At 43.7% G+C, this 26161-nt stretch overlaps 1 long non-coding RNA gene across 1 annotated transcript in view; it reads left to right on the top strand.

Annotated features, from left to right (window-relative positions):
- The window catches only part of LOC105377448 (uncharacterized), a 192690-nt gene that overhangs the window by 1959 nt on the left and 164570 nt on the right, over positions 1–26161 (top strand). Inside the window, exon 2 of the long non-coding RNA NR_133945.1 lies at positions 14668–14776. This is a non-coding gene — a long non-coding RNA (uncharacterized LOC105377448). The remainder of the gene's footprint in view (positions 1–14667; positions 14777–26161) is intronic.

The following is a 26161-nucleotide window of genomic DNA, read 5'->3' as shown; positions in this document are numbered from 1 at the left end:
TGGGGTCTTGCTGTGTTGCCCAGGCTGGTCTCAAACTCCTGGCCTCCAGCGATCATCCCACCTTTGCCTCCCAAAGCACTAGGATTACAGGTGTGAACCACCACGCTGGGCTTGTATGTTTTCTGGTTAACATTACACAGGTTGTTCTAATGCACATCCCTCTTCCTCCCTCGATGCCACCTCCCAGATAAATAAACTGGGGGCAGGATGGTGGAAAGGAGATGGATTTAAGAACTGCAAAGGAGACAGAAACCATAGGGTTGAGTGACATTGAATCTCGGGGCTGAGGCAGGAGATAATGGAATCTAGTGATGACTTTGGTAACTGATGGATAATGGAACCAAATGGGGATAACAAGTGGAGATGCTGCTCTCAGGGGAAGATAGTGAGTTGATATGTGAACATATAATTGTGATGTGTCCATGGAACATACAGGTGGAGTCACTTTGTAAACAATTGAAACTATGGGCCCGGCATGGTAGCTTATGCCTGTAATCCCAGCACTTTGGGAGATGAGGCTCAAGGATTACTTGAGGCCTGGAGTTTGAGACTAGCATGGGCAACATAGTGAGACCCTGTCTCAAAAAAAAAATTAGCCCAGTGTGGTGATGTGTGCCTGTAGCCCCAGCTACTCAGGAGGCTGAGGCAGGAAGATCCTTTGAGCCCAGGAGTTCCAGGCTGCAGTGAGCTACAATCATGCCATTGCACTCCAGCCTGGGTGACAGTGCCAGAACCAGTCTAATAAATAAACAAACAAACCAAACAAACAAACGAACAGACAAATACATAAGTAAAGAAGAATAAACCATTGCCCTAAAGTTCATAGCAGGGTCAGAGCCCAATTCTGTTGGGAGTTCAGTAATTGAAGCCATGACTAATGAGTTGACCCAGAAAAAGGTCTTTTAAGTGAAATAGAAAAAACCTTAGGGATAAAAATCCTATGAAACTTGTACCTTTAAGGAGTTGGCAGGAGGGAAAGAGACTTGAGACTTGGCCGGAGGAGAACAAGGAGTGATTGGTGTCTTGAGAGTACGAAAGGAAAATAAACTTGGGACCCTAGTTCACTCTGCCAAAAGAAAAAAATTAAGCTGAAAGCTAAGTCATGCAAGAAACTGGCTTGCTTTTGTTCCTAGGCAGATAGCTACTGATAAAAGGTTAAATATCTCCACAGGTAGCTACTGTATATTCACCTTATTTTTATTTATTTATTTATTTTATTTTTTTTTTGAGACAGAGTCTTGCTCTGTCACCCAGGCTGGAGTGCAGTGGCACGATCTCGGCTCACTGCAACCTCCACCTCCTAGGTTCAAGTGATTTTCCTGCCTCAGCCTCCCGAGTAGCTGGGATTACAGGAAACTGTCACCACACCTGGGTAATTTTGTATTTTCAGTAGAGATGGGGTTTCTCCATGTTGGTCAGGCTGGTCTCGAACTCCTGACCTCAGGTGATCCACCTGCCTCGGCCTTCCAAAGTGCTGGGATTGCAGGCATGAGCCACCACCCCAGGCCTCATCTTATGTAAAGTGCCCATTTACTGAGTGTGAGATGAATACATAATTGACCATTCCCCTCCCTGCTCCTTTTCTTTTGCAACGTGTAGATTATTGTACCCTCCCTCTGTCCCCTGCAGCCCACATTTCCCCTTTAAATATTGAAGCCTTCAAAATCATCTTTGGAGAAAGGCACAGGCCACCGACTATTTCTTTGATTCTGTTTTTATTTCTTTTGGATGTCCTTAACCTTGGCAAGATAAATTGATTGATAGCTGTCTCAGATACTTTTTGGTTTATAGGAGTAAGGAAACAACTTCTAGAAGGGTGTAACAGTGATGAATTATCCCAAGAGGTCAAGATGGGGACTGAATCCCTTGGATTTTGTCATTTATTTATTTATTGAGACAGAATCCGCTTTGTTGCCCAGGCTGGAGTGCAGAGACCTGATCTCGGCTCACTGCAGTCTCTGCCTCCCAGGCTCAAGTAATTCTCATGCCTCAGCCTCCTGAGTAGCTGATTTTTTTTTGTATTTTTAGTAGAGACAGGGTTTCGCCATGTTGTCTAGGCTGGTCACGAACTCCCAGCTTCAGGTGATCCATCCACCTTGGTATCCCAAAGTGCTGGGATTACAGGTATGAGCCACCATGCCTGGCTGGAAGGCCATTTTTTTTTTTTTTTTGAGACAGAGTTTCGCTCTTGTCGCCCAGGCTGTAGTGCAATGATGCAATCTCGGCTCACCACAACCTCCGCCTCCCAGGTTCAAACAATTGTCCTGCCTCAGCCTCTGAGTAACTGGGATTACAGGGATGTGCCACCACACCCAGCTAATTTTGTATTTTTAGTAGAGAGAGAGTTTCTCCACTTTGGTCAGGCTGGTCTCAAGCTCCTGACTTCAGGTGATCCGCCTGCCTCAGCCTCCCAAAGTGCTGGGCTTGCAGGTGTGAGCCACCACGCCCAGCCCTGAAGGCCATTTCAACCTCAGTATGAAATAGTTCCAGGTAGGGGCCCTGGTGGTGGAAATCAGACTGCATTGGTTAATGAGGTGGGAAGGAAGGACACCAATCAAAGAACAATGAGAGAAAGAACTAGGTAGTTTTCTTTTCTCTTAAGATTGAAGCAACCTTATAATCGTCGGAAGGGTTTGTCCTGCCTGCTGCACAGACAAAACCAATTTACTGGACGGCATTGTAGTAGAGCTTTTACTTGACACAAAGCCAGCCCATGAGGCTCAACTAAAGCTAATACTCAAATCAGTTTCCCTGAAGGCTCAGAGGTTCGGGTTTTTATGGACAATTTGTTGGGTGGGGCTAGGGAATGAGTGCTACTGACTGGTTGAGGATGAGATCATAGGGATGTGGAAAACAAGCCTCCTGCACTGAGTCCAGCTCTTATAGGGCCAAAGGATCAGTTGAGTCATGAGTCATGAGTCCAGGTGGGGTCAGTCTGAAAAAAATCTTTAAAAACCAATCTTAGTTTCCACAATAGTGATGTTATCTATGGAAGTCACAAATCTTGTGATCTCTGGCCACATGATTCCTGGGCAGTAAGAGATTATAGAAACTACTCCTGCATTTTAGCAGAACTCAGGTCCCTCCAATAATCCTATTTTTGTGGACTTCACAACAGTAATCCTAGCATTTTGTGAGGCTGAGGTGGGTGGATCACCTGAGGTCAGGAGTTCAAGACCACCCTGGCCAATATGGTGAAACCCTATCTCTACTACAAATACAAAAATTAGCCGGGAGTGGTGGCATTCACCTGTAATCCCAGCTACTCAAGGAGGCTGAGGCAGGAGAATCACATGAACTCAGGAGGTGGAGGCTGCAGTGAGCCGAGATTGTGCCACTGCACTCCAGCCTGGGCAATGGAGCAAGACTCTATCTCAAAAAAAAAAAAACAAAAAAAAAACCAAAGTCTTGCAAAGGCTGCTTTTGGTCCCTAAGCAAGGAGGGTGTTAGTTTTAGGGCGGGACTGTTATCATCCTTGCTTTCAAGTTAAATTATAAACTAAATTCTTCCCAAGGTTAGCTAGGCCTATGCACAGAAATGACCAAGGACAGCTTGGAGGTCTGAAGCAAGATGGACTCAACTATGTCAGATTTCTCTTATTGTCATAATTTTGCAAAGGCAATTTCAACCTCAAAATATTTATAAGTTGAGGAGAAGGAGCTAATAAACAGAAAAGGTATAGTTATTCTACTAATATTACAATTTTCAGCTTATTGCAGTGAGCTATTATCAGCTACTGCACTCCAGCCTGGGCGACTGAGTGAGATCTTGTCTCAAAAAAAGGAGGAGGATGGGGGGGTGGGGGTACAGGAAAAAATGAAAATTATAAACAGACATTATATGGATTGTTTTTTCTTCTCTTTTAATCTCAGCCCCTGGATTGTGATTTAATAGCTTTATTGACCATACAACTCACCCATTTAGAGTTTACAATTTAATAATGCTTAACATATTGGAAGAGTTCATAAGGACAGTTTTAAAACATTTTCATCACCCTAAAAAGAAACCCTATAGACATTAGGAGCCACTCTTTATTTCTTCCCAAACCCCCATGCCTGGGCAACCATAAATCTACTTTTTGACTCTATATACTTACCTTTTTTTTTTTTTTTTTTTTGAGACGTGGTCTTGCTCTGTTACCAGGCTGGAGTGCAGTGGTACGGTCTTGGCTCACTGCCACCTCCGCCTCCCTGGTTCAGGTGATTCACCCACTTCATATATTGTATGAATATACTATGTGTTTTTTTTTTTTGTTTTTTTTGTTTTTTTTTTCTGACAGAGTCTTGCTCTGTCGCCCAGGCTGGAGTGCAGTGGTGCTATCTCAGCTCACTGCAAGCTCCACCTCCCAGGTTCACGCCATCCTCCTGCCTCAGCCTCCTGAGTAGCTGGGACTACAGGCGCCCATCACCACGCCGGGCTAATTTTTTGTATTTTTAGTAGAGACAGGGTTTCACCATGTTAGCCAGGGTGGTCTCGATTTTCTGACCTCATGATCCACCTGCCTCGGCCTCCCAAAGTGCTGGGATTACAGGCATGATCCACCCCGCCTGGCCACCATGTGGTCTTTATCCATTAATCAGTTGATGAACATCTGAATTATTTCTATTTTTTGGCTATTATGAATAAAGCTGCCATAAACATTTGCATACAATTTTTTTTTTTTTGAGACGGAGCCTTGTTGTGTCACCCAGGCTGGAGTGCAGTGGTGCGGTCTTGGCTCACTGCCACCTCTGCCTCCCTGGCTCAGGTGATTCACCCACTTCAGCCTCCTGAGCAGCTGGAACTACAGGTGCCCGCCACCATGCCTGACTACTTTTTGCATTTTTCGTAGAAATGGGGTTTTACCATGTTGGCCAGGCTGGTCTCAAACTCCTGACCTCAGGTGATCCACCTGCCTCAGCCTCCCAAAGTGCTGGGATTAAAAGCGTGAGCCACCGTGCCTGTCCGCATACAAATTTTTGTGTAGTAATATGTTTTCATTTCCCTTGGGTGTATACAGGAGTGGAATTGCTGGGTCACATAGGAACTTTTTGTTTGGCTTTCTGAGAAACTGTTTTCCAACACAGCTATACCATTTTACATTCCTATCAACAGTATAGGAGGGTTCCCATTTCTCCCCTGCTCACCAGCACTTGTTATTATCAGTCTATTTGTTTATGGTCATCTTAGTTAGTGGATATGAAATGGTATCTCACTGTGCTTTTGATTTGCATTTCTCTAATGACTAGAGATGTCATCTTAAAAAAATGTTTTTCTTGGCCGGGCACAGTGGCTCACGCCTGTAATCCCAGCACTTGGGAGGCCGAGGTGGGCAGATTACGAGGTCAGCAGTTCAAGACCAGCATGGCCAACATGGTGAAACCCCATCTCTACTAAAAATACAAAAATTAGCCGGGCATGGTGACGGGCCCCTGTAATCCCAGCTACTCTGGAGGCTGAGGCAGGAGAATCGCTTGAACCCGGGAGGCGGAGGTTGCAGTGAGCCGAGACCACGCCATCGCACTCCAGCCTGGGCAACAGAGCAAGACTCCGTCTCAAAAAAAAAGAACAGTTTTTCTTTTGTATAGGTGAGGTCTTCCTACATTGACAAAACTGGTCTTGAACTCCTGGCCTGAAGCAATCCTCCTGCCTCGGCCTCCCAAAGTGCTGGGATTACAGGAGTGAGCCACCACGCCCGGCCTTTTTTTGTTTTTTGTTTTTTATTTTAAACTCAGCTCTTGTGATCATGTTTTTTGTTTGTTTGTTTTTTTCTTTGAGACGGAGTTTTGCTCTGTCACCCAGGCTGGAGTGCAGTGGCATGATTTTGCCTCACTGCAACCTTCACCTCCCAGGTTCAAGCAATTCTCCTGCGTCAGCCTCCGGAGTAGCTGGGATTACAGGCGTGCGCCACCATGCCCAGCTAATTTGAGTATTTTTAGTACAGACGGGGTTTCACCATGTTTGCCAGGCTGGTCCCAAACTCCTGACCTCAGGTGATCCACCCGCCTCCGCCTCCCAGAGTGCTGGGATTACAGGCGTGAGCCACCGTGCCCCGGCAGCTGGTAATTATGTTTTTACATGCATTTGTCTTTTCTTTCCAGGTTAAAGCAATGTGTTCCTCATTCCAGCCTTTATCTACCAAGCTGCCTGTCATTAATTCTAAGACTCATGTTTGTTTGTTTTCACATTTTAACATCTTGTAAATTAAAATGGTCTCTTAAATTAAACAAAATTTTAGAATTACATTCATCAAAGGTACAAATTATAGCTAGTCATTTTCTAATTCTTTTTCAAGATCTACTTTTCTTGACCTAATAATGACTAGGAAATTTGTGATTTCCCTGCCCTGTGCTGACCAGCCTAGGCTGTGTTAGTAACAGGCTCATGATAGAACCTGTTCTATGACAGTTCTTTAACTTTCAGGACGTTCTCACAGGTTTTTAACCTAGTGTCTAAATATTCTGTCCTCCAGTGTAGCAAGCGTGGTGGCCCCAGTCTTACTTTTTTGTTTGGTTTAAACATCATCAGGGCTGGTGCAGTGGCTCATGCCTGTAATCGCAGCACTTTGGGAGGCTGAGGTGGGTGCATCACCTGAGGTCAGGAGTTTGAGACCAGCCTGACTAACATGGTGAAACCCCATCTCTACGAAAAAGGAAAACATTAGCTGGGAGTGGTGACAGGCACCTGTAATCCCAGCTACTGGGAGGCTGAGGCAGGAGAATCACTTGATCCTGGGAGGCAGAGGTTGCAGTGAGCCGGGATCACGCCACTGCACTCCAGCCTGGGTGACAGACAGAGACCCTGTCTCAAAATAAATAAATAAATAAATAAATAAATAAATAAATAAATAAATAAATAAATAAAAATCATCATTTTGTAAGAGACCACGCTCTTAGAAAATGAAGTTCCTTGTGTCTAAGATTTCAGATCCCTGTTCCCTCCTTTTTGCTGTTCAGTCACCTAGCAAACTGTGTTAGTGTTAGGGCAAACTAACCACCCTGATTTTTGTTGATATTAGAGAGTCAGGCTCTGACCTACTTGTCCATGTAAATAATAGCCAATGTATCATGTATCTCATTATAATCAAATGTTGATACACCTTGATGATACTATATATATATGTATATCTGTAAACAAGGAAATATGGGCTGGGTGTGGTGGCTCAAGCCTGTAATCCCAGCACTTTGGGAGGCCCAGGCGGGCGGATAACCTGAGGTCGGGAGTTCAAGGCCAGCCTAACCAACATGGAGAAACCCCGTCTCTACTAAAAATACAAAAATTAGCCAGGCATGGTGGTGCATGACTGTAATCCTGGCTACTTGGGAGGCTGAGGCAGGAGAATGGCTTGAACTTGGGAGGCGGAGGTTGCAGTGAGCCGAGATCACGCCATTGCACTCCAGCCTGGGCAACAAGAGCAAAACTCGATCAAGAGATCGAGATCATCCTGGCCAACATGGTGAAATCCCGTCTCTACTAAAAATACAAAAATTACCTGGGCATGGTCGTGCGCCTATAGTCCCAGCTACTCGGGAGGCTGAGGCAGGAGAATCGCTTGAACCAGGAAGTTGGAGGTTGCAGTGAGCTGAGATTGCACCACTGCACTCCAGCCTGGTGACAGAGCAAGACTCTGTCTCAAAAAAAAGAAAAAGGAAATATGTTTTTCATGTATATCTCTAAATTGACTCATTTGCATACCCATCTATCAGATGTCTAGAACCAATTTGATAGTCCTCCAAATTGTGTTCTTAAACTTTTCATTAGCTGATAAAATAATTGTAGGGAGCAAACACTAAAATTGCTAGTAATTCTACTAAGGTTTTATTTAAAATTGAACCACAACCTTCAAGCAGACACCATAATAGGATCACATCAGTGACATGAAGCTGCACAATTAAGAGGTTCACCCTTGAATGATCTAGCTCAGAGAACTTTGTCTGGAAGGTTAGCACCAAAGGAACTGCTAGGCTGTACATGTAGCCATGAGTTAAAACTGTGTGGCTTTAGGGTGACATAGAATTATTTACATTGGAATTGAGACCCTTTCTTGCAAATCAGCAAATATTCTTAAACCTGTATGAACGGACTGGAAAACTAAATTTTCTAGTAGTAATAATATTATTACATAGCAGCTCCATCCCAATAGGATCATTGGCCTTTTTCAAACTTTAACAGCATCAGGGCCGGGCACGGTGGCTCACACCTGTAATCCCACCTCTTTGGGAGGCTGAGGCAGGTGGATCACCTGAAGTCAGGAGTTTGAAACCAGCCTGATCAATTTGGTGAAATCCCATCTCTACTAAAATTAACAAAAATTAGCTGGGCGTGGTGCCGTGTGCCTGTAGTCCCAACTACTCAGGAGGCTGAGGCAGGAGAATCACTTGAACCTGGGAGGCGGAGGTTGTAGTGAGCTGAGATCATGTCACTGGACTCCAGCCTGGTGACAGTGCAAGACTCTGTCTAAAAAAAAAAACAAAAAACAAACAAACAAAAAAAATGCATCAGGGCCAGGCATGGTGGCTCAGACTTGTAATTCCAGCACTTTGGGAGGCTGAGGTGGGTGGATCACCTGAGGTCAGAAGTTTGATACCAGCCTGACCAACATGGCAAAACCCCATCTGTAATAAAAATACAAAATTAGCCGAGCGTGGTGGCAGTTGCCTGTAATCCCAGCTACTTGAGAGGCCGAGGCAGGAAAATTGCTTGAACCCAGGAGGCGGAGGTTGCAGTGAGCCGAGATTGTGCTATTGTACTCCAGCTTGGGCCACAAGAGTGAAACTCCGTCTCAAAAAAAAAAAAAAGAAAAGAAATCAGAATATTTCTGTTTAAAATATGATTTTTTAAATCAATTAGAAGGCTCTAAAATCAATACTAAGTCAGAAGTAAATACAGTTGAGGCTTAGACGGCTGTCGGTTCCAAATACAGTAAACTCTGCAATTGATAATAAGATCAGAAAATCATGAGGCCAGAGAATACACTGGAGACAATGCAGGCCATGAGGGGCTTCTCAAGCTGGGTTAGTCCACAGGAACTGACACATTGTAAAATTTATTTCAAGTTTCCTATTTCATCATAAAAATTAGTGCAACTTTTTTTTTTTATGTGGAGTCTTGCTCTGTCACCCAGGCTGGAGTGCAATGGTATAATCACCTAGGCTGGAGTGCAATGGCGCAATCTTGGCTCACTGCAACCTCCTTCTCCCGGGTTCAAGCGATTCTCCTGCCTCAGCCTCTGGAGTAGCTGGGATTACAGGCATGCACCACCACGCCCGGCTAATTTTTATATTTTTAGTAGAGATGGGGTTTCACCATGTTGGCCAGGCTGGTCTCGAACTCCTGACCTTAGGTGATCCGCCTGCCTCGGCCTCCCAAAGTGCTGGGATTACAGGCATAAGCCACCGTACACAGCTTCCTTTTTTTTTTTTTTTTTTTTTTTTTGAGACAGAGTCTTGCTCTGTTGCCCAGGCTAGAGTGCAGTGGCACGATCTTGGCTCACCACAACCTCCGCCTCCCAGGTTCAAGCGAGTCTCCTGCCTCAGCCTCCTGTGTAGCTGGGACTACAGGCACCCGCCACCATGCCCAGCTAATTTTTGTATTTTTAGTAGAGGTGGGGTTTTACCATATTGGCTAGGCTGGTCTCGAACTCGTGACCTCAAATGATCCACCCACCTCAGCCTCCCAAAGGGCTGGGATTACAGGCATGAGCCACTGTGCCCGGGCAAATTGGTGCAATTTTGGCCTTCTACATCATGACATATCTATGTTCATTTTAAATAAAATTATTTTATTCCCAATTCTTGGAGTAAAATGTGTATTTATTGTGTAGCTTCAAAGCATCTCCTGCCATATTACATTGTTTTTTTCTTTTTTAAGACAGAGGGTTTCGCTTTTTCACTCAGGCTGGAGTTTAGTGGCATGATCATGGCTCACTGCAGCTTCGAGCCCCTGGGTTCAAGTGATTCTCCTGCCTCAGCCTTCTGAGCCACTAGGACTATGGGCACATGCTGCCACACCTGGCTAATTTTATTATTATTTTTGTTATTTTTTGTAAAGATGGGGATCTCCCTATGTTGCCCAGCCTGGTTTCCAACTCCTGGCCTCCAGTGATCCTCTCACCTTGGCTCCCCAAAGAGCTGGGATTACAGGCATAAGCCACTGTGCCTGGCCAATTAAAAAAAAAAATCTCACCCCATCTCCCTACCACTCCATCTCCACCTCATCCTCAAGGCTCAAGCGATGACCTTGCCTCAGCCTCTGGAGTAGCTGGGATTATAGGCATGCACCACTACTGTCGGGCTAATTTTTTGTATTTTTAGTAGAAATGAGGTTTCACCATGTTGGCCAGGCTGGCCTTGAACTCCTGACCTCAAATGATTCACCCACCTTGGCCTCTCAAAGTGCTAGGATTACAGGCGTGAGCCACCGTGTCTGGCCCAAAGGTGCTTCACTTTCTTAACAGATCTTGCTGAATGGCCCTAACAGTGAGTTACATCCAAAACTTCATCTGGTGATTCCCAAAGGTTGCCTAGCTCCAGTACAGATTCTTCTGATAGTCATTTGAACCATCGAAGTCACCTCTGTGGAGCCATGTGGGGACTAGTCCGTTAGGGGTCCAAAGTGGTCCTGGGAAGTTGTAAGGGAGGAGGAGCTGGGCTTCCTGTGAATTCTGCAGGGCTGGCTGGGATTATTGCCATGATACTTGACTGAACTACTGTTCAGCCTGGGCTCTTGACCACCAAGTTCAAGATGACCTGCTCTCTCAGATGTCTGAAAGTTTCTTAGTAACCATGGAGTGTCAGTTCCCTGTTGTGGGCAAAAAGCTCTGAAAGTTTTACTTTAGGAAGCCAGGAGGAAACCTTGTGATGCAACTTTCCCAAAGGGGGAAATGCATAAATGGGTTCCATGAGTACGAGGCCACAGCATCTTCTACAAAGGACTCACAGTTTTCAAGAGTGCCACTAGGTCTTCTTCCAGCTGGCGACACCTGCAAAGACGACACGACCCGAACTCCTGGTTTGGCGCTTTGTGAAGCTCTGCTAGCCACTGTTTTCTCTGTAAGGTAGGCTCTCAGCCCTTCAGCCTTCTTAGGAGTGTTTTGCTGTCTCCTGAAGAGCAGTGTCCTCCCATCTTCAACAGTTATCTCCAAAGGGAAGCAACAATGATTCCCAAAACCGGGAGCACATTAACATCACTGGGGATATCATCCAAGACGGAGGTCCCTGGTCCACTCATGGAGGTGCGAGAGGTTTGTGGTAGAACCCAGGAACCTGCATTTTAACAGGCAGCCTCCATGGTCGTGGCCCAGTGCTGCAGGCCTCACACTCCAAGGATTACTGTCACGAAGACGCCACTTATCTGCTCACAGACATCCTTGGGAGCTAATGAACAGGCTGAAATGGAGTGAACCTAACAGGAATAGCTAAGCAGCACATAGAATATTAAATGTCTGTCTTTCTACTATCACTTTTAACTAATGCTTCTTCAGGAATCTCTTAAAATAATACCAGATCTGGCCGGGCACGGTGGCTCACACCTATAATCCCAGAACTTTGGGAGGCCGAGGCAGGCAGATCACCTGAGGTCAGGAGTTTGAGACCAGCCTGACCAACATGGTGAAACCCCATCTCTACTAAAACTACAAAAATTAGCTGGGTGTGGTGGCGCATGCCTTTAATCCCAGCTACTTGGGAAGCTGAGGCAGGAGAATTGCTTGAACCAGGGAGGCAGAGGTTGCAGTGAGCTGAGATTGCGTCACTGCACTCCAGCCTGGGTGGGTAACAGAGTGAAACTCAAACAAACAAGGCCGGGCGCGGTGGCTCACGCCTGTAATCCCAGCACTTTGGGAGGCCGAGACGGACGGATCACGAGGTCAGGAGATCAAGACGATCCTGGCTAAGACGGTGAAACCCCATCTCTACTAAAAATACAAAAAAATTAGCCGGGCGTGGTGGCAGGCGCCTGTAGTCCCAGCTACTTGGGAGGCTGAGGCAGGAGAATGGCGTGAACCCGGAAGGCGGAGCTTGCAGTGAGCCGAGATCGCGCCACTGCACTCCAGCCTGGGCGAGAGGGCGAGACTCTGTCTCAACAAACAAACAAACAAACAAACAAACAAAACCAAAATACAGATCTAGTAAATTGGCAACAAAAGGCTGCCAATTTGTTACGCTGTAAGCCAGTTTATTTGAACCACACATCTACTCCAGTATCCTCTATTTCAATTTCAGGTATGCTTTCCCCATTTACAAACATTAATTTAAAAAACCTTAAGGCTGGGTGCAGTGACTCATGCCTGTAATCCTAGCACTTTGGGAGGCCAAGGTGGATAGATCGCTTGAGCCCAGGTATTTGAGACCAGTCTGGACAACATGGTGAAACCCCATTTCTTTTTTTTTTTTTTTTTTTTTGAGGCAGAGTCTCGCTCTGTTGCCCAGGCTGGAGTACAGTGGCGCGATCTCGGCTCACTGCAAGCTCCGCCTCCCGGGTTCATGCCATTCTCCTGCCTCAGCCTCCCGAGTAGCTGGGACTACAGGCGCCCGCCTCCACGCCCGGCTAATTTTTTGTATTTTTAGTAGAGATGGGGTTTCACCATGTTAGCCAGGATGGTCTCGATATCCTGACCTCGTGATCCGCCTGCCTCGGCCTCCCAAAGTGGTGGGATTACAGGCGTGAGCCACCACGCCCGGTGGTGAAACCCCATTTCTACAAAAAAAAAAACAAAAAACAAAAAACAATAATTAGCTGGGCGTAGTGGCACGCACGTGTAGTCCCAGGTACTCAGGAGGCTGAGGTGGGAGGATCACCTGAGTTTCGGAGGTCAAGGCTAAAGTGAGCCGTAAGTGGCACCACTGTACTCCAGCCTGGGCAACAGAGTGAGTGTCTCAAAAACAAACAAAACAAAACAACGACAATCCCAAAAAACCTTAAGGCAAGAATTTCTGTTGGAAGCGACAACCCCAAGTCACCACAATGCTGCCTTTCCAAGACTAAGGCTCAGATTCTAGTTAAAGTCTTCGTTTAGGGGATCCTCAACATCAGTAAGGCAGTATCTTAACTAGAGAGGTGATCATGGACTGCCCAATCAGATCAATTAAATAGAAGCCCTAACAGGGAGCAAGGGGAGGGCTGGAGAGCAGAAAGTTTTATTTCTATATACTTTGAAAATGACAACCAGTCATGAGGGGAAAGTCCAATTACCAAAGCCAAATTTTCAAGAGTATATGTCTGCCATCCAGGAAGACCCTTGATTCCTGATCATTTCTTTTTTTTTTTTTTTTTTTTTTTTTGAGTTGGAGTCTCATTCTGTCACCCAGGATGGAGTGCAGTGGCGCGATCTCGGCTCACTGCAACCTCTGCCTCCCTGGTTTAAATGATTCTCCTACCTCTGCCTCCCAAGTAGCTGGGATTACAGGCGCCCGCCACCACGCCCGGCTAATTTTTTTGTGTTTTTAGTAGAGAAGGGGTTTCACTGTGTTAGCCAGGATGGTCTTGATCTCCTGACCTCATGATCCGCCTGCCTCGGTCTGCCAAAGTGCTGGGATTACAGGCATGAGCCATCGTGCCCAGCCAGATTCCTGATCATTTCAATTTGCCAAATGAGCAGCCTTAAACTGTCATACCTCGCAATTCAGTGATCTCAAAATTTGCCTCCATTTGTAAGTGCACAGTTCTCTGAGTTTTCACAAATATATATACTTATGCAATCACCACAACAATACAGATAAGAACATTTCCATCACCATAAAAAGTTCCCTCCCGGCCAGGCATGGTGGCTCACGCCTGTAATCCCAGCACTTTCGCAGGCTGAGGTGGGAGAATCACTTGAGGTCAGGAGTTTGAGACAAGCCTGACCAACATGGCAAAACCTCACCTCTACTAAAAATACAAAAATTAGCTGGGGATGATGGTGCATGCCTGTAATCCCAGCTACTTGGGAGGCTGAGGCAGGAGAATCACTTGAACCCAGGAGGCGGAGGTTGCAGTGAGCCGAGATCGTGGCACTGCACTCCATTCCGGGCGACAGAGCAAGACCCTGTCTAATATATATATATATATATATATATATATATATATATATATATATATATATATATATGTATGTAAAGAAAAAAAAAACTTACCAAATTGTTTTTCAAGTGGTTGTCAACCAGGAAGACAGAGAGTCTCATTCTGAGAAGGCAAGCTAGAGGTTTGTTTTTTAAGTAAAATTATGTTCTCTTATTATTTTAAAAAATTGATCTAAATAATAGATGAGTACAGTCTCACTTTAAGACATTCAATCATTCAAAAAAGAGAGAAAAAACCATCCTCACTTCCAGCACCCCACCTCCTGGGTAACTTACAGCTTCCTTGGAAGGAGCTTGTCTAGAACAACTGGGGAGAAGCTACCGCTGGCTGTAGTGCCTGGGTCAACAGGCTAGAAGGAAGAGCAGGAGGGGACTGCACGGGAGCCAGCTGGGCGTGTCACAGTTCCTATTGGTGTGCTCGCTATGAAAGGATTTCTTTTCGGCATTTGGGAATAATTATGTTTAAAGAAGGTTATTTAAAAACAGATATTCTTTCCCCTAGAGTGTACAGTGTTTGATACACACAGGTGGATTCTTGCTTCTCGTGTGCATTTTTCTAGACTCCATTCAAACCATGTCTCTGAGTACAACTCAAAAGAGGTTTATGCTTTACATCTCTACATTCCAGTTACATCTTCCTGAGGATAGAGCCTACATAGAAGTTCAGCAAATATCTGGTCTTTTCCACACCTGGGAAGATGTGGGTATAGGCCACTATGTGTTTTCCTTTCAAAATGGTAAGTTCATCTTGATTTTTTTTATCTGTTTTGGGGGTAGGACAGAGACACTCTTCTAGCACATTGACTATTTGTCTTTTTCTTTAAGAATGAACCTTAGATTATAAATTCTAGGATTGCAAGGTACTGGTTTTTCCACAAGTTCGTATGTATTGGGAAGCTCAGTTTTATGGACAATTATGCTGATTTGGGGTGGAGGGTATAGGGGTCATTCCACAAACACTCATGTTGCTCACTTAGCACATTCCAGGCACAGTGCTAGATGCTGGGGATGCAATACACAAGACAGACAAAGGTGTCTGTATGGAACTTACATTCTAATTGAGGGAGGAGAGACAGACAATAATCCAAAAAAATAAAAATAAACACGATAGATATAGAGTGTGGTCAGTGCTGTGAAGGAAGTAAATAAGACAATGTGATAGAGAGCGAGTGATATTTGAATTGGAACTGGAGGGTGAGAATGAGCCTACCTTTAGGAAGAGCTGGAGCTGGGAAAGCATTTGGTGACATTCCCTAGGACAGAAAGGGGAGTCAGTGTGGCAGGAGCCAGGTCACAGCTGTCATAGGAGTTTGGATTTCATTCTAAAAGCAATGGAAAGTCATTGGAGGGTAAGCAACACAGGAATGACTACACCTGATTTGTGTTTTTAAATATAAAGCAAATCAAGAAACATAAAATATGAAACATAAAACATTTGGCATGTGGGTGGAGAATGGGTTGTAAGGGGAGGTGGTCAGAATGGAATTGGACTCTGCTATCTCCTCAGCGACCTCTTACCTGAAGACCGTGGGTACCAGGCAAATAGCAGGAGCAGAAGACTCCACTTCCAACCCCCTTTCCATACCCCTAAGAATCCTTTCTTCCTGAGTCCCAGCACTGTAAGGAAGGTTCTGTGTATATGTGAAGAGAGCAGAGGTTCCACAGGAGAACTTGGGCATCAGAGCCCCCAAAGCAAGGGCAAGGTCTTCTCTTAGTCCTTTTCCAGACTTTTCCACAATTCAACTGTGGTTCCCTAGACTATTGGAAGGTCCTAGTTGCATGTGATGACTCAATGATCTGGCCACAGGACCTGTGTCACCAAGCCAGGTAGTCAGTCTCTAACAGAAGCTGGGGAAATATTAGTAGGTGTTAATGAAAATGACAGTCAATAATGAAATGTGATCAAATTACTGAATAACGTTACCGAAAAACATCAGCAAGTGGCAGGAAGAGGACCTCTAAGCCTTTTGAACTAGAACCGAAGCATAAAAGGAACTTTAAAAGCCATCAATCCCAGCACTTCGGGAGGCCGAGGCAGTCAGATCACCTGAGGCCAGGAGTTCAATACCAGCCTGACCAACATGGAGAAACTCTGTCTCTACTAAAACTACAAAATTAGCCAGGCGTGGTGGTGCATGCCTGTAATCCCAGATACTCGGGAGCTGAGGCAGGAGAATCACTTGAACCCGGGAGATGGAGGCTTCAGTAAGTTGAGATCACGCCGTTGCACTCCAGCCTGGGCAACAAAGAGTGAAACTCTGTCTCAAAAAAAAAAAAAAAAAAAGCCATCATCCCAGAAGATTTGATAAATTATTTTGTCTCAAACATAGTTTGATATATAAATGAACTTACATGTAGTATCATTATTTTTGGAAGTAAATTTGTGGCATATAAGCAAAGTATTTAAGATGAGGATATCATTTATTTATGTTTCTCTAATGTACCCGTTACTTATTAAGTTTATTGATGATATTATTTATTATTTTATACATCTCAAAATAAAACAAGGATAGATTTAAATTTTTAAGAAGCTCATATTTCTTAGTGTATGGAACATGAAAGTGGAATATTGGCCACGCTTTCTTTAATCTCATTTTTTTTCTTTTAAGGAGAGTAGACTGAGAGTCAATTCTTCTGTCATAAACTAATGAAGTCAAAGTTCTTGTTTGTATGCAAAAATATCTATATCTATCTTCCCCAACTGGGTTTAAAAAACTATGGTAAAATATATAAAACATAAAATTTACCTTTTTAACAACTTTTAAGTGTACAGTTAGTGGCATTAAATATATTCACATTGTCATGCAATCCATCATCACCCATCCATCCCCAACTAGGTTTTTATTTTATTCTTTTATATCAAGGATATAAGAATACTTTTCAGTAAAATTAGAAAACATGAGGGCTGGGCTTGGTGGCTCATGCCTGTAATCCTAGCAGTTTGGGAGGCCAAGGCAGGAGGATCACTTTAGCCCAGGAGTTCAAGACCAGCCTGGGCAACATAGTGAGACCTTGTCTCTACAAAAACAACAACAAAAAATTAGAAAAACATGAAACTACTTAAGCTGCCATGGTTTTTAGGAAAGGTATTAAAGCTGGATCTTATTTTCCAATAAGAGGGTTTCTTTAAGAGGGTTTCTTTTTTTTTTTTTTTTTTTTGAGACAAAATCTCACTCTGTTGCCCAGGCTAGAGTGCAGTGGCATCATCTCAGCTCAATGCAACCTCTGCCTCCCAGGTTCAAGCGATTCTGCTGCCTCAGCCTGCCGAGTGGCTGGGACTACTGATGCGCACCACCATGCCCGGCTAATTTTTGTGTTTTTAGTAGAGATAGAGTTTCACTATATTGGCCAGGCTGGTCTTGAACTCCTGACCTCATGATCCTCCTGCCTCAGCCTCCCAAAGTGTTTTAATTACAGGCATGAGCCACCATGCCTGGCCAAGAGGGCTTCTTAAATCAGCCCTCTATAGCTGCGATCCCCAACCTGTTTGGCACCAGGGACTGGTTTAATGGAAGACAATTTTTCCACGGACGGGGTGGGGGAATGGTTTGGGGATGAGACTGTTCCAACTCAGATCATCAGGCATTAGATTCTCATAAGGAGTATGCAACCTAGATCCCTTGCACATGCAGTTCACAATAGGGTTTGTGCTCCTATGAGAATCTAATGCTGCCACTGATCTGACAGGAGGCAGAGATCAGGCGGTAATGCTTAGTTGCCCATGCTCACCTCCTGCTGTGCCGCCTGGTTCCTAACAGGCCACAGACTGTATGGGTCTGCAGCCTGGGGGTTGGGGACATCCTCTCTAGAGTGCCTAATGAAACCTTCTGCTTCTAGGTAGTGCTTGAAGAGGAAACACAAATGACAAGACAAAAGAAAACAAAAAAACCCCATAAACACATCAATCTCATAAGTAATCAAAGAAAAGCAAAACAACAACTACAGTATTACCAAAAAAACCTGATTATTTTTCACAAATTATTTTGGCAAGGAGGGGAAAAAAAGTACAGTGTTTGCAAGGTGATGATAGGGTAATATATTTTTGTGGAATGTAGTTTGATCATATGTATCAGAGTTTTTCCTTCTCCTCCTCCTCCTCCTCCACCTCCTCCTCCTCCTTCTTCCTCCTCCTCCTCCCTCTTCTTCCTCTTCTTCTTCTCCTTCATCTCCTCCTCCCCTTCTTCCCCTTCTTTTCTTCTTCTTCTTTCTTCTTCTTTTTCCTACATAATATATCTATGTAACATTGATCAGAATTTTCAATGAACGTACCAGTAATCTTTCTCTTAGGAAATAATTCTAAAGAGTTAGCTACACATCTGTAGCTAAATGAACAAGGATATTCACCCACAGTGTTGTTTATATAAAAGACTAGAAACAACTTAGCCATTTGACAATCAACATCAGATAGGGTTAAGTAAATTATAATATATTCACACAATGGAATATCTTGTGGTCATCATAAATGATGGTGTAGACCTACACTGACATAGATTTGTCGAATGAAAGGGATGGTTACAGATGAACATGTATAATATGATCCTATTTATATAAAATACATATCTATGTATACATTCATGTATTTGTGTGGGTGGATAGATGGATGTCTGAAAGGTTCTTCACTAGAATGTTAACATCTTTGATTGGTTAGATTTACTTCCTTTTATGGGAAATATTCTATATTATATATATATTTTTCTATGGGTATGTTCTATTTTTTACTGTAATGAAAACAATAAAGCTCTTTTCCATCTGGGAACAAAAATTAAATAGATCAGCATATTTAAAAATGAGTAGGATAAATAGACAATACAAGGCACAACTCCACACACATAAATTTTACAACTTAGATGAAATGACCATTTCTCAAAAACACAACTATCACAATTCAGATAATTTGAATACTCCTATAATTATTATTTTATTTTTATTTATTTATTTTTAAATTATATTTATTTTATTTATTTATTTTTTGAGATGGAGTCTCGCTCTGTCACCCAGGCTGGAGTGCAGTGGTGTGATCTCAGCTCACTGCAACCTCCACCTCCCGGGTTCAAGCAGTTTCTGCCTCAGCCTCCCGAGTAGCTGGGATTACAGGCACTAGCCACCACATCTGGCTAATTTTTGTATTTTTAATAGAGACAGGGTTTCACCATCTTGGCCAGGCTGGTCTTGAACTCCTGACCTCGTGATCCTCCTGCCTCGGACTCCCAAAGTGCTGGGATTACAGGCGTGAGCCACCGCTCCCAGCCTAGAATCATAATTTGAGATGGAGTTTCGCTCTTTCGCTTAGGCTGGAGTGAATTGGTGTGATCTCGGCTCATTGCAACCTCTACTCCCTGGGCTCAAGCGATTCTCCTACCTCAGCCTCTTGATAGCTGAGATTATAGGTGCCTGCCACCACATCCGGCTAATTTTTGTATTTTTAGTACAGATGGGGTTTCGCCATGTTGGCCAGGCTGGTCTTAATCTCCTGACCTCAGGTAATCCACCCACCTTGGCCTCCCAAAGTGCTAGGATTACAGGCGTGAGCCACTGCGCCCAGCCCTTTAATTATTAAATCAACTGAGTCATAATTTTAAAACCAAAATTAAATAAAAAATTTCTTATAAAGAAATTTCTAAGTCTGGATAACTTCATTGGGAAATTCTACCAAACATTTAAAGAAGTAACACCAATTTTATGCAATTTCTGTCAGAAAATAGAAGAGGAAACACTTCTCACACCTCACACCAAAATCAAAGACAATACCCAAAAGAAAACCACAGACCAACATCCCCCATGCATATAGATGCAAAATTTCTTAACAAAATATTAGCAAACAGAATTAGACAATTTACAAAAATAATTACATGCCATGACCAAATGAGATTTATTCCAGAGATGCAAGGCTAGTTCAATATTTCAAATTAATCAAATATAATCTATTATATTAACATCCTAAAGAAGAAAAATCACATAATTTTTTTTTTTTTGGAGATGGAGTCTCTGTTGCCTAGCCTGGAGTGCAGTGGTGCAATCTAGGCTCACTGCAACCTCCACCTCCTGGGTTCAAGCGATTCTCCTGCCTCAGCCTCCTGAGTAGCTGGGATTACAGGCATGCACCACCATGCCTGGCTAATTTTTGTATTTTTAGTAGAGACAGGGTTTCACCACGTTGGTAAGGCCAGTCTCAAACTCCTGACCTCAAGTGATCAGCCCACCTTGGCCTCCCAAAGTGCAGGGATTACAGGCGTGAGCCACTGCATCTGGCCACATAAGTATATTGATGGAGAAAGAACAATTGACAAAATTTAGCACCCATTTGTGATAAAAACACTCAGAAAAATAGGACTAGAGAAGGACTTCTTCAATTTGATAAAGAATATTTACAAAAAGACTACAGCTGGCTGGGCATGGTGGCTCAAGCCTATAACCTTAGCACTTTGGGAGGCCGAGATGGGCAGATCATTTGAGCTCAGGAGTTCAAGACCAGCCTGGCCAACTTTGTGAATCCCCACCTTTACTAAAAATACAAGAATTAGCTGAGCGTGGTGGTGCATGCCTGTAGTCCCAGATACTTGGGAGGTTGAGGCAGGAGAATCGCTTGAACCCTGGAGGCAGAGGTTGCAGTGAGCTGAGATTGTGCTATTGCACTCCAGCCTGGGTGACAGGGTGAGACTCTCTCAAAAAAACAAAAAACTACAGCCAACATATTTAATGGTGAAAACTGCATGCTTTACACCTTTAGTTTGCTGGGGTTGCTATAACGAAGTACCACAGACTGGTTGGCTTAAGCAACAGAAATTTATTTTCTCACAGTTCTGGAGGCTGGAAGGCCAAGATCAAAGTGTCAGTGGGGTTGGTGTCCTCTGAGGCCTCTCTCCTTGACTTGTAGATGGCTGCCTTCTCCCTGTGTCTTCCCGTGGTCTTCCCTTTATGAGTCTGTGTTCTAATCTCTTCTTTTATTTATTTTTATTTTTTATTTTTTTGAGGCAGAGTCTCCCTCTGTCCCCAGGCTGGAGTGCAATGGTGTGATCTCGGCTCACTGCAAGCTCCACCTCCTGGGTTCACACCATGCTCCTGCCTCAGCCTCCTGAGTAGCTGGGACTACAGGCAGCACCACGCCTGGCTAATTTTTTGTATTTTTAGTAGAGACGGGGTTTCATCGTGTTAGCCAGGATGGTCTAATCATTTCTCATAAGGACCCCAGCCATATTAAATTAGGGCCCACCTTAGTGACCTTATCTTAATTTGATTACCTTTTAAAGACCTCATGTATTAGTCTGTTTTCACACTGTTACAAAGAAATATCTGAGACAGGGTAATTTATAAAGAAAATAGTTTTGTTGTTGTTGTTCTTTTTTCTCTTTTTTAAAAAAGCCAGTCAAATTTAGTAGTGGAGGGGATTGTATACCAACTTTAGTGACACTAATGTAGAAAACAGGTTTAATTGGCTCACGGTTCTGTAGGCTGTACAGGAAGCATGGCAGCTTCTGCTTCTGGGGAGGCCTCAGTAGGCTTCCAATCATGGTGGAAGGCAAAGCAGGAGCAAGCATCTTACGTGGCCTGAGCAGGAGGGAGACAGACAGGAGTGAGGTGCCACACACTTTTAAACAACCAGATCTCACAACAATTCACTCACTCACTCACTCACTCACTCACTATTATGAGAATGATAGCACCAAGGGGATGGTGCTAGCCCATTCATGAGAACTCCACCCACATGATCCAATCATTTCCCACCAGGCCCCACCGCCAGCAATGGGGATTACAATTTGACATGAGATTTGGTGGGGACACAGATTCAAATCATATCACCCTATCTCCAGATACAGTCATATTTTGAGGTAAAGGGGATTATAGCTTCAACATATGAATTTGGGCAGAGGGGTAGGAGGGAAACATTTTAGCCCATAATACCCTCTAAGATCAGGAATGAAGCGAAGATACCCACTCTCACTCAGTCTTGATCCAGTTATAATTTTGGAAGTTCTAGCCAAGGCAATAAGGCAAGTAAAGGAAATAAAAGGCACACCAATGCAAAGGAGGAAATAAAACTGTTCCTATTTGCAGATAATATGATATTCTTGGTAGAAAATCCCAAAGAATCGACAAAAAGAAATCCTAGAGCTAATAAGTGAGCTCAGCAAGGTCACAAGATGCAAAATAAACATACAAAATCAATTGGATTTCTGTATACCAACAATAAACATGTAGATGCTGGAATTAAAAATATAATACCAGGCTGGGCATGGAAATCCCAGCACTTTGGGAGGCGGAGGTAGGCAGCCATGGGCTCAGGAGTTTAAAACCAAAATTAGCTGGGTGTGGTGACACACTCCTGTGGACCTAGCTACTAGGGGAAGTCGGGGAGGAGGCTGAGATGGGAGGATTGTTTGAGCCCAGATGGCTGAGGCTGCAGTGAGCTGTGATCATGCCATTGCACTCCAGCCTGGGCGACAATACCAATTAAAAAAATTTTTTTTTTAATTTTTTGACAGCGTCTCACTCTGTCGCCCAGGCTGGAGTGCAGTGGCACAATCTTGGCTCACTGCAATCTCTGCCTCCCGGGTTCAAGTGATTCTCCTGCCTTAGCCTCCTGAGTAGCTGGGACTACAGGCACACGCCACCATGCCCAGCTAATTTTTGTATTTTTAGTACAGACGGGGTTTCACCATGCTGGCCAGGCTGGTCTCGATCTGCTGACCTTGTGATCCGCCCACCTCAGACTCCCAAAGTGCTGGGATTACAGGTGTGAACCACTGTGCCTGGACAACAATACCATTTATAGTCACTAAAAACAGAAAAGGCTGGGCGTGGTGTTTCACGCCTGTAATCCCAACACTTTGGGAGGCCAAGGCGGGAGGATCACTTGAGGTCAGGAGTTCAAGACCACCCCGGCCAACAAGGCAAAACCTTGTCTCTACTAAAAAAACAAAAATTAGCCAGGCATGGTGGCTCACGCCTGTAATTCCAGCTACTCAGGAGGCTGAGGCAGGAGAATCACTTGAACCTGGGAGGCAGGGGTTGCAGTGAGCTGAGACTGTGCCACTGCTCTCCAGCACGGGTGATGGAGTGAGACTCTGTCTCAAACAAACAAACAACCCAGAAAAAAATAAAAATAAAAAAAAAACTGTAAATCTAACAGAATATGTACAACACTTGTATGCTGAAAACCACACGATGCTAAAGAAAGAAATCAAAGCAGATCTAAATAAATGGAAAGGCATACAGCATTCATGGATTGAAAGACTCAGCATAACAAAAATGATAATTCTTCCCAAATTGATATGTAGGCTTAATGCAATTCCTATAAAAATTCCAACAATTCCTTGTAGATACAGAGAAGTGTATTTAAAAATTTATCAGGAAAGGCAAAAGAACTAGAATAGCTAAAACATTTTTGCAAAAGAAGAATAAAGTAGGATAAATCAGTCTACCCTATTTCAAGGCTTAAATAGCTATAGTAATCGCAACTGTGTGGTATTAGCAGAGGGATAGAAAATAGATTAAAGGAACAAAATAAAGAACTCAAAAATAGACCAATGTTAATATGCCCAACTGATTAAAAAAAATTTTTTTTTAATAGAGATAGGGTCTCGTGGCCGGGCGCAGTGACTCACACCTGTAATCCCAGTACTTTGGGAGGCCAAGGTGGTTGGATGACCTGAGGTCAGGAGTTCGAGACCAGCCTGGCCAACATGGTGAAACCCCATCTCCACTGAAAATACAAAAATTAGCGGGCACGGTGGCGGGAGCCTGTAATCCCAGCTAGTTGGGAGATTGACACAGGGGAATCGCTTGAACCCTGGAGGCAGAGATTGCAGTGAGCTGAGATTACGCCATTGCACTCCAGCCTGGGCGACAAGAGCAAAATTCTGTCTCAAAAAAAAAAAAAAAAAAAAAAAAAGCCTGGCGTGGTGGCTCATGCCTGTTATCCCAGCACTTTGGGAGGCTGAGGCGGGTGGATCACGAGGTCAGGAGATTGAGACCATCCTGGCTAACATGGTGAAACCCCGTCTCTACTAAAAAAACACAAAAAATTAGCCGGGTGTGGTCTCGGGCACCTGTAGTCCCAGCTACTCGGGAAGCTGAGGCGGGAGAATGGCGTGAACCTGGGAGGCGGAACTTGCAGTGAGCCAAGATCACGCCACTGCACTCCAGCCTGGGCGACAGAACAAAACTCCATCTCAAAAAAAAAAAAAAAAGAGATAGGGTCTCCCTATATTGTCCAGGCTGGTCTTGAACTACTGGGCTCAAGATATCCTCCTGCTTTGGCCTCCTAAAGTTCTGGGATCACAGGCATGAGCCAACTGATTTTTGACAAAGATACAAAAGCAACTCAATGGAGGATAGGTAGCCTTTTCAACAAAGGGTGCTAGAGCAAGTGGACGTGCATTGACCAAAAAAAGTACCATGACATAATGACCTAATTCTTTTTTTTTTTTTTTTTTGAGACAGGGTCTTGTTCTGCTACCCAGGCCAGAATGCAATAGCACCATCATAGCTCACTGCAGCCTCACACTCCTGGGCTCAAGAGATCCTCCCACCTCAGCCTCCCAAGTAACTGGAACTACAGGTGCATGCCACAATGCTTGGCTAATCCTGGCTAATTAAAAAAATTTTTTTTTGTAATGATGAGGTCTCACTATGTTTCCCAGCCTCTAATTCTTTTTTTCTTTTTTTCTTTTTTTTTTTTTTTGAGATGGAGTTTCGCTCTTGTTGCCCAGGCTGGAGTTCAATGGCACAATCTTGGTTCACTGCAACCTCTGCCTCCTGGGTTCAAGTGATTCTCCTGCCTCAGCCTCCCGAGTAGCTGGGATTTACAGGCATGTGCCACCATGCCTGGCTAGTTTTGTATTTTTAGTAGAGAGGAGGTTTTTCCATGTTGGTCAGGCTGGTCTTGAACTCCCAATCTCAGGTGATCCACCCACCTTGGCCTCCCAAAGTGCTGGGATTACAGGCGTGGGCCTGTAATATATATAGGCGTGGGCCTATAAATTATAATTCTTATAATTTATATAAAAATAAACTCAAAATGGATCACAAACTTAAATATAAAATGTAAAACTGTAATACTTTCAGAAAAAATAAGAGAAAATCTTCAGGATCTAGGATTAGGTAAGGAATTCTTAGATTTGACGGTAAAAGCACATTTTTGGGAGGAAAGTTGATAAATTGGACTTGGTCTAAATTAAAACTATTGTTCTGCAAATGACATAAGAGGATAAAAAGATAAGCTCAGAGTGGGAGAAAATATTTGCAAACCATATATTCTACAAAGGACTAGCATCTAGACTATAAAAAGAACTCTGAAAACTCAATACTAAAAAGAACAATTCACTTAAAACACGGAGCTGGGCACAGTGGCTCATGCCTATAATCCTAGCAGTTGGGAGGCCGAGGCAGGAGGATTGCTTGAGGCCAGGAGTTCTAGAGCAGCCTGGGCAACAAAGCAAGACTCTGTCTCTACAAAAATAAAAAAATTAGCCAGGTGTGGTGGTGCTCACCTGTAGTCCTAGCTACTTGGGGAGGATATGCTTCTTGAACCCAGGAGGTCAAGGCTGCAGTGAGCCATGATCACACTACAGCACTCCAGCCTGAGCAACAGAGCAAGTCTCTGTCTCAAAAAAAAAAAAAAAAAAAAGAATATGGGCAAAAGACATGAAGAGACATTTTACCAAAAAAGATGTACAGGTAGAAAATAAGCACATGAAAAGATGCTCAGCAGCATTAACTATTAGTGAAATGCAAATTAAAATCACAATGAGATCTCACTATATACCTATCAGAATGGCTAAAATTAATATTGGCAACAACAAATGTTGACAAGGATGGGGACAAACTGGATCCACTCATTCATTGTTGGTGACATTTAAAATGTTACAGCCACTTTAGAAAACAGTTTGTCAGTTGTCTGTAAAACTAAATATGCAACTACCTTACAACTCAGTAATTGTACTGCTGGGTATTGATCCTAGAAATGAAGACTTATGTACAAAAATCTGTACGTAAATATTTTTAGCAGTTTTATTAGTAAATAGCTAAGAACTTGAGACAACCCAGATGAACTCTAATTGTCATCATTTACCCTTTGGAGGTCATCTGGGTTGTTTCAAGTTGATACATTCATACTATGGGAT

Source organism: Homo sapiens, chromosome 4 (genome assembly GCF_000001405.40).
Source record: "Homo sapiens chromosome 4, GRCh38.p14 Primary Assembly".
Lineage (NCBI taxonomy): Eukaryota > Metazoa > Chordata > Mammalia > Primates > Hominidae > Homo > Homo sapiens.
This window is presented reverse-complemented; position numbering and strand designations above follow the sequence as displayed.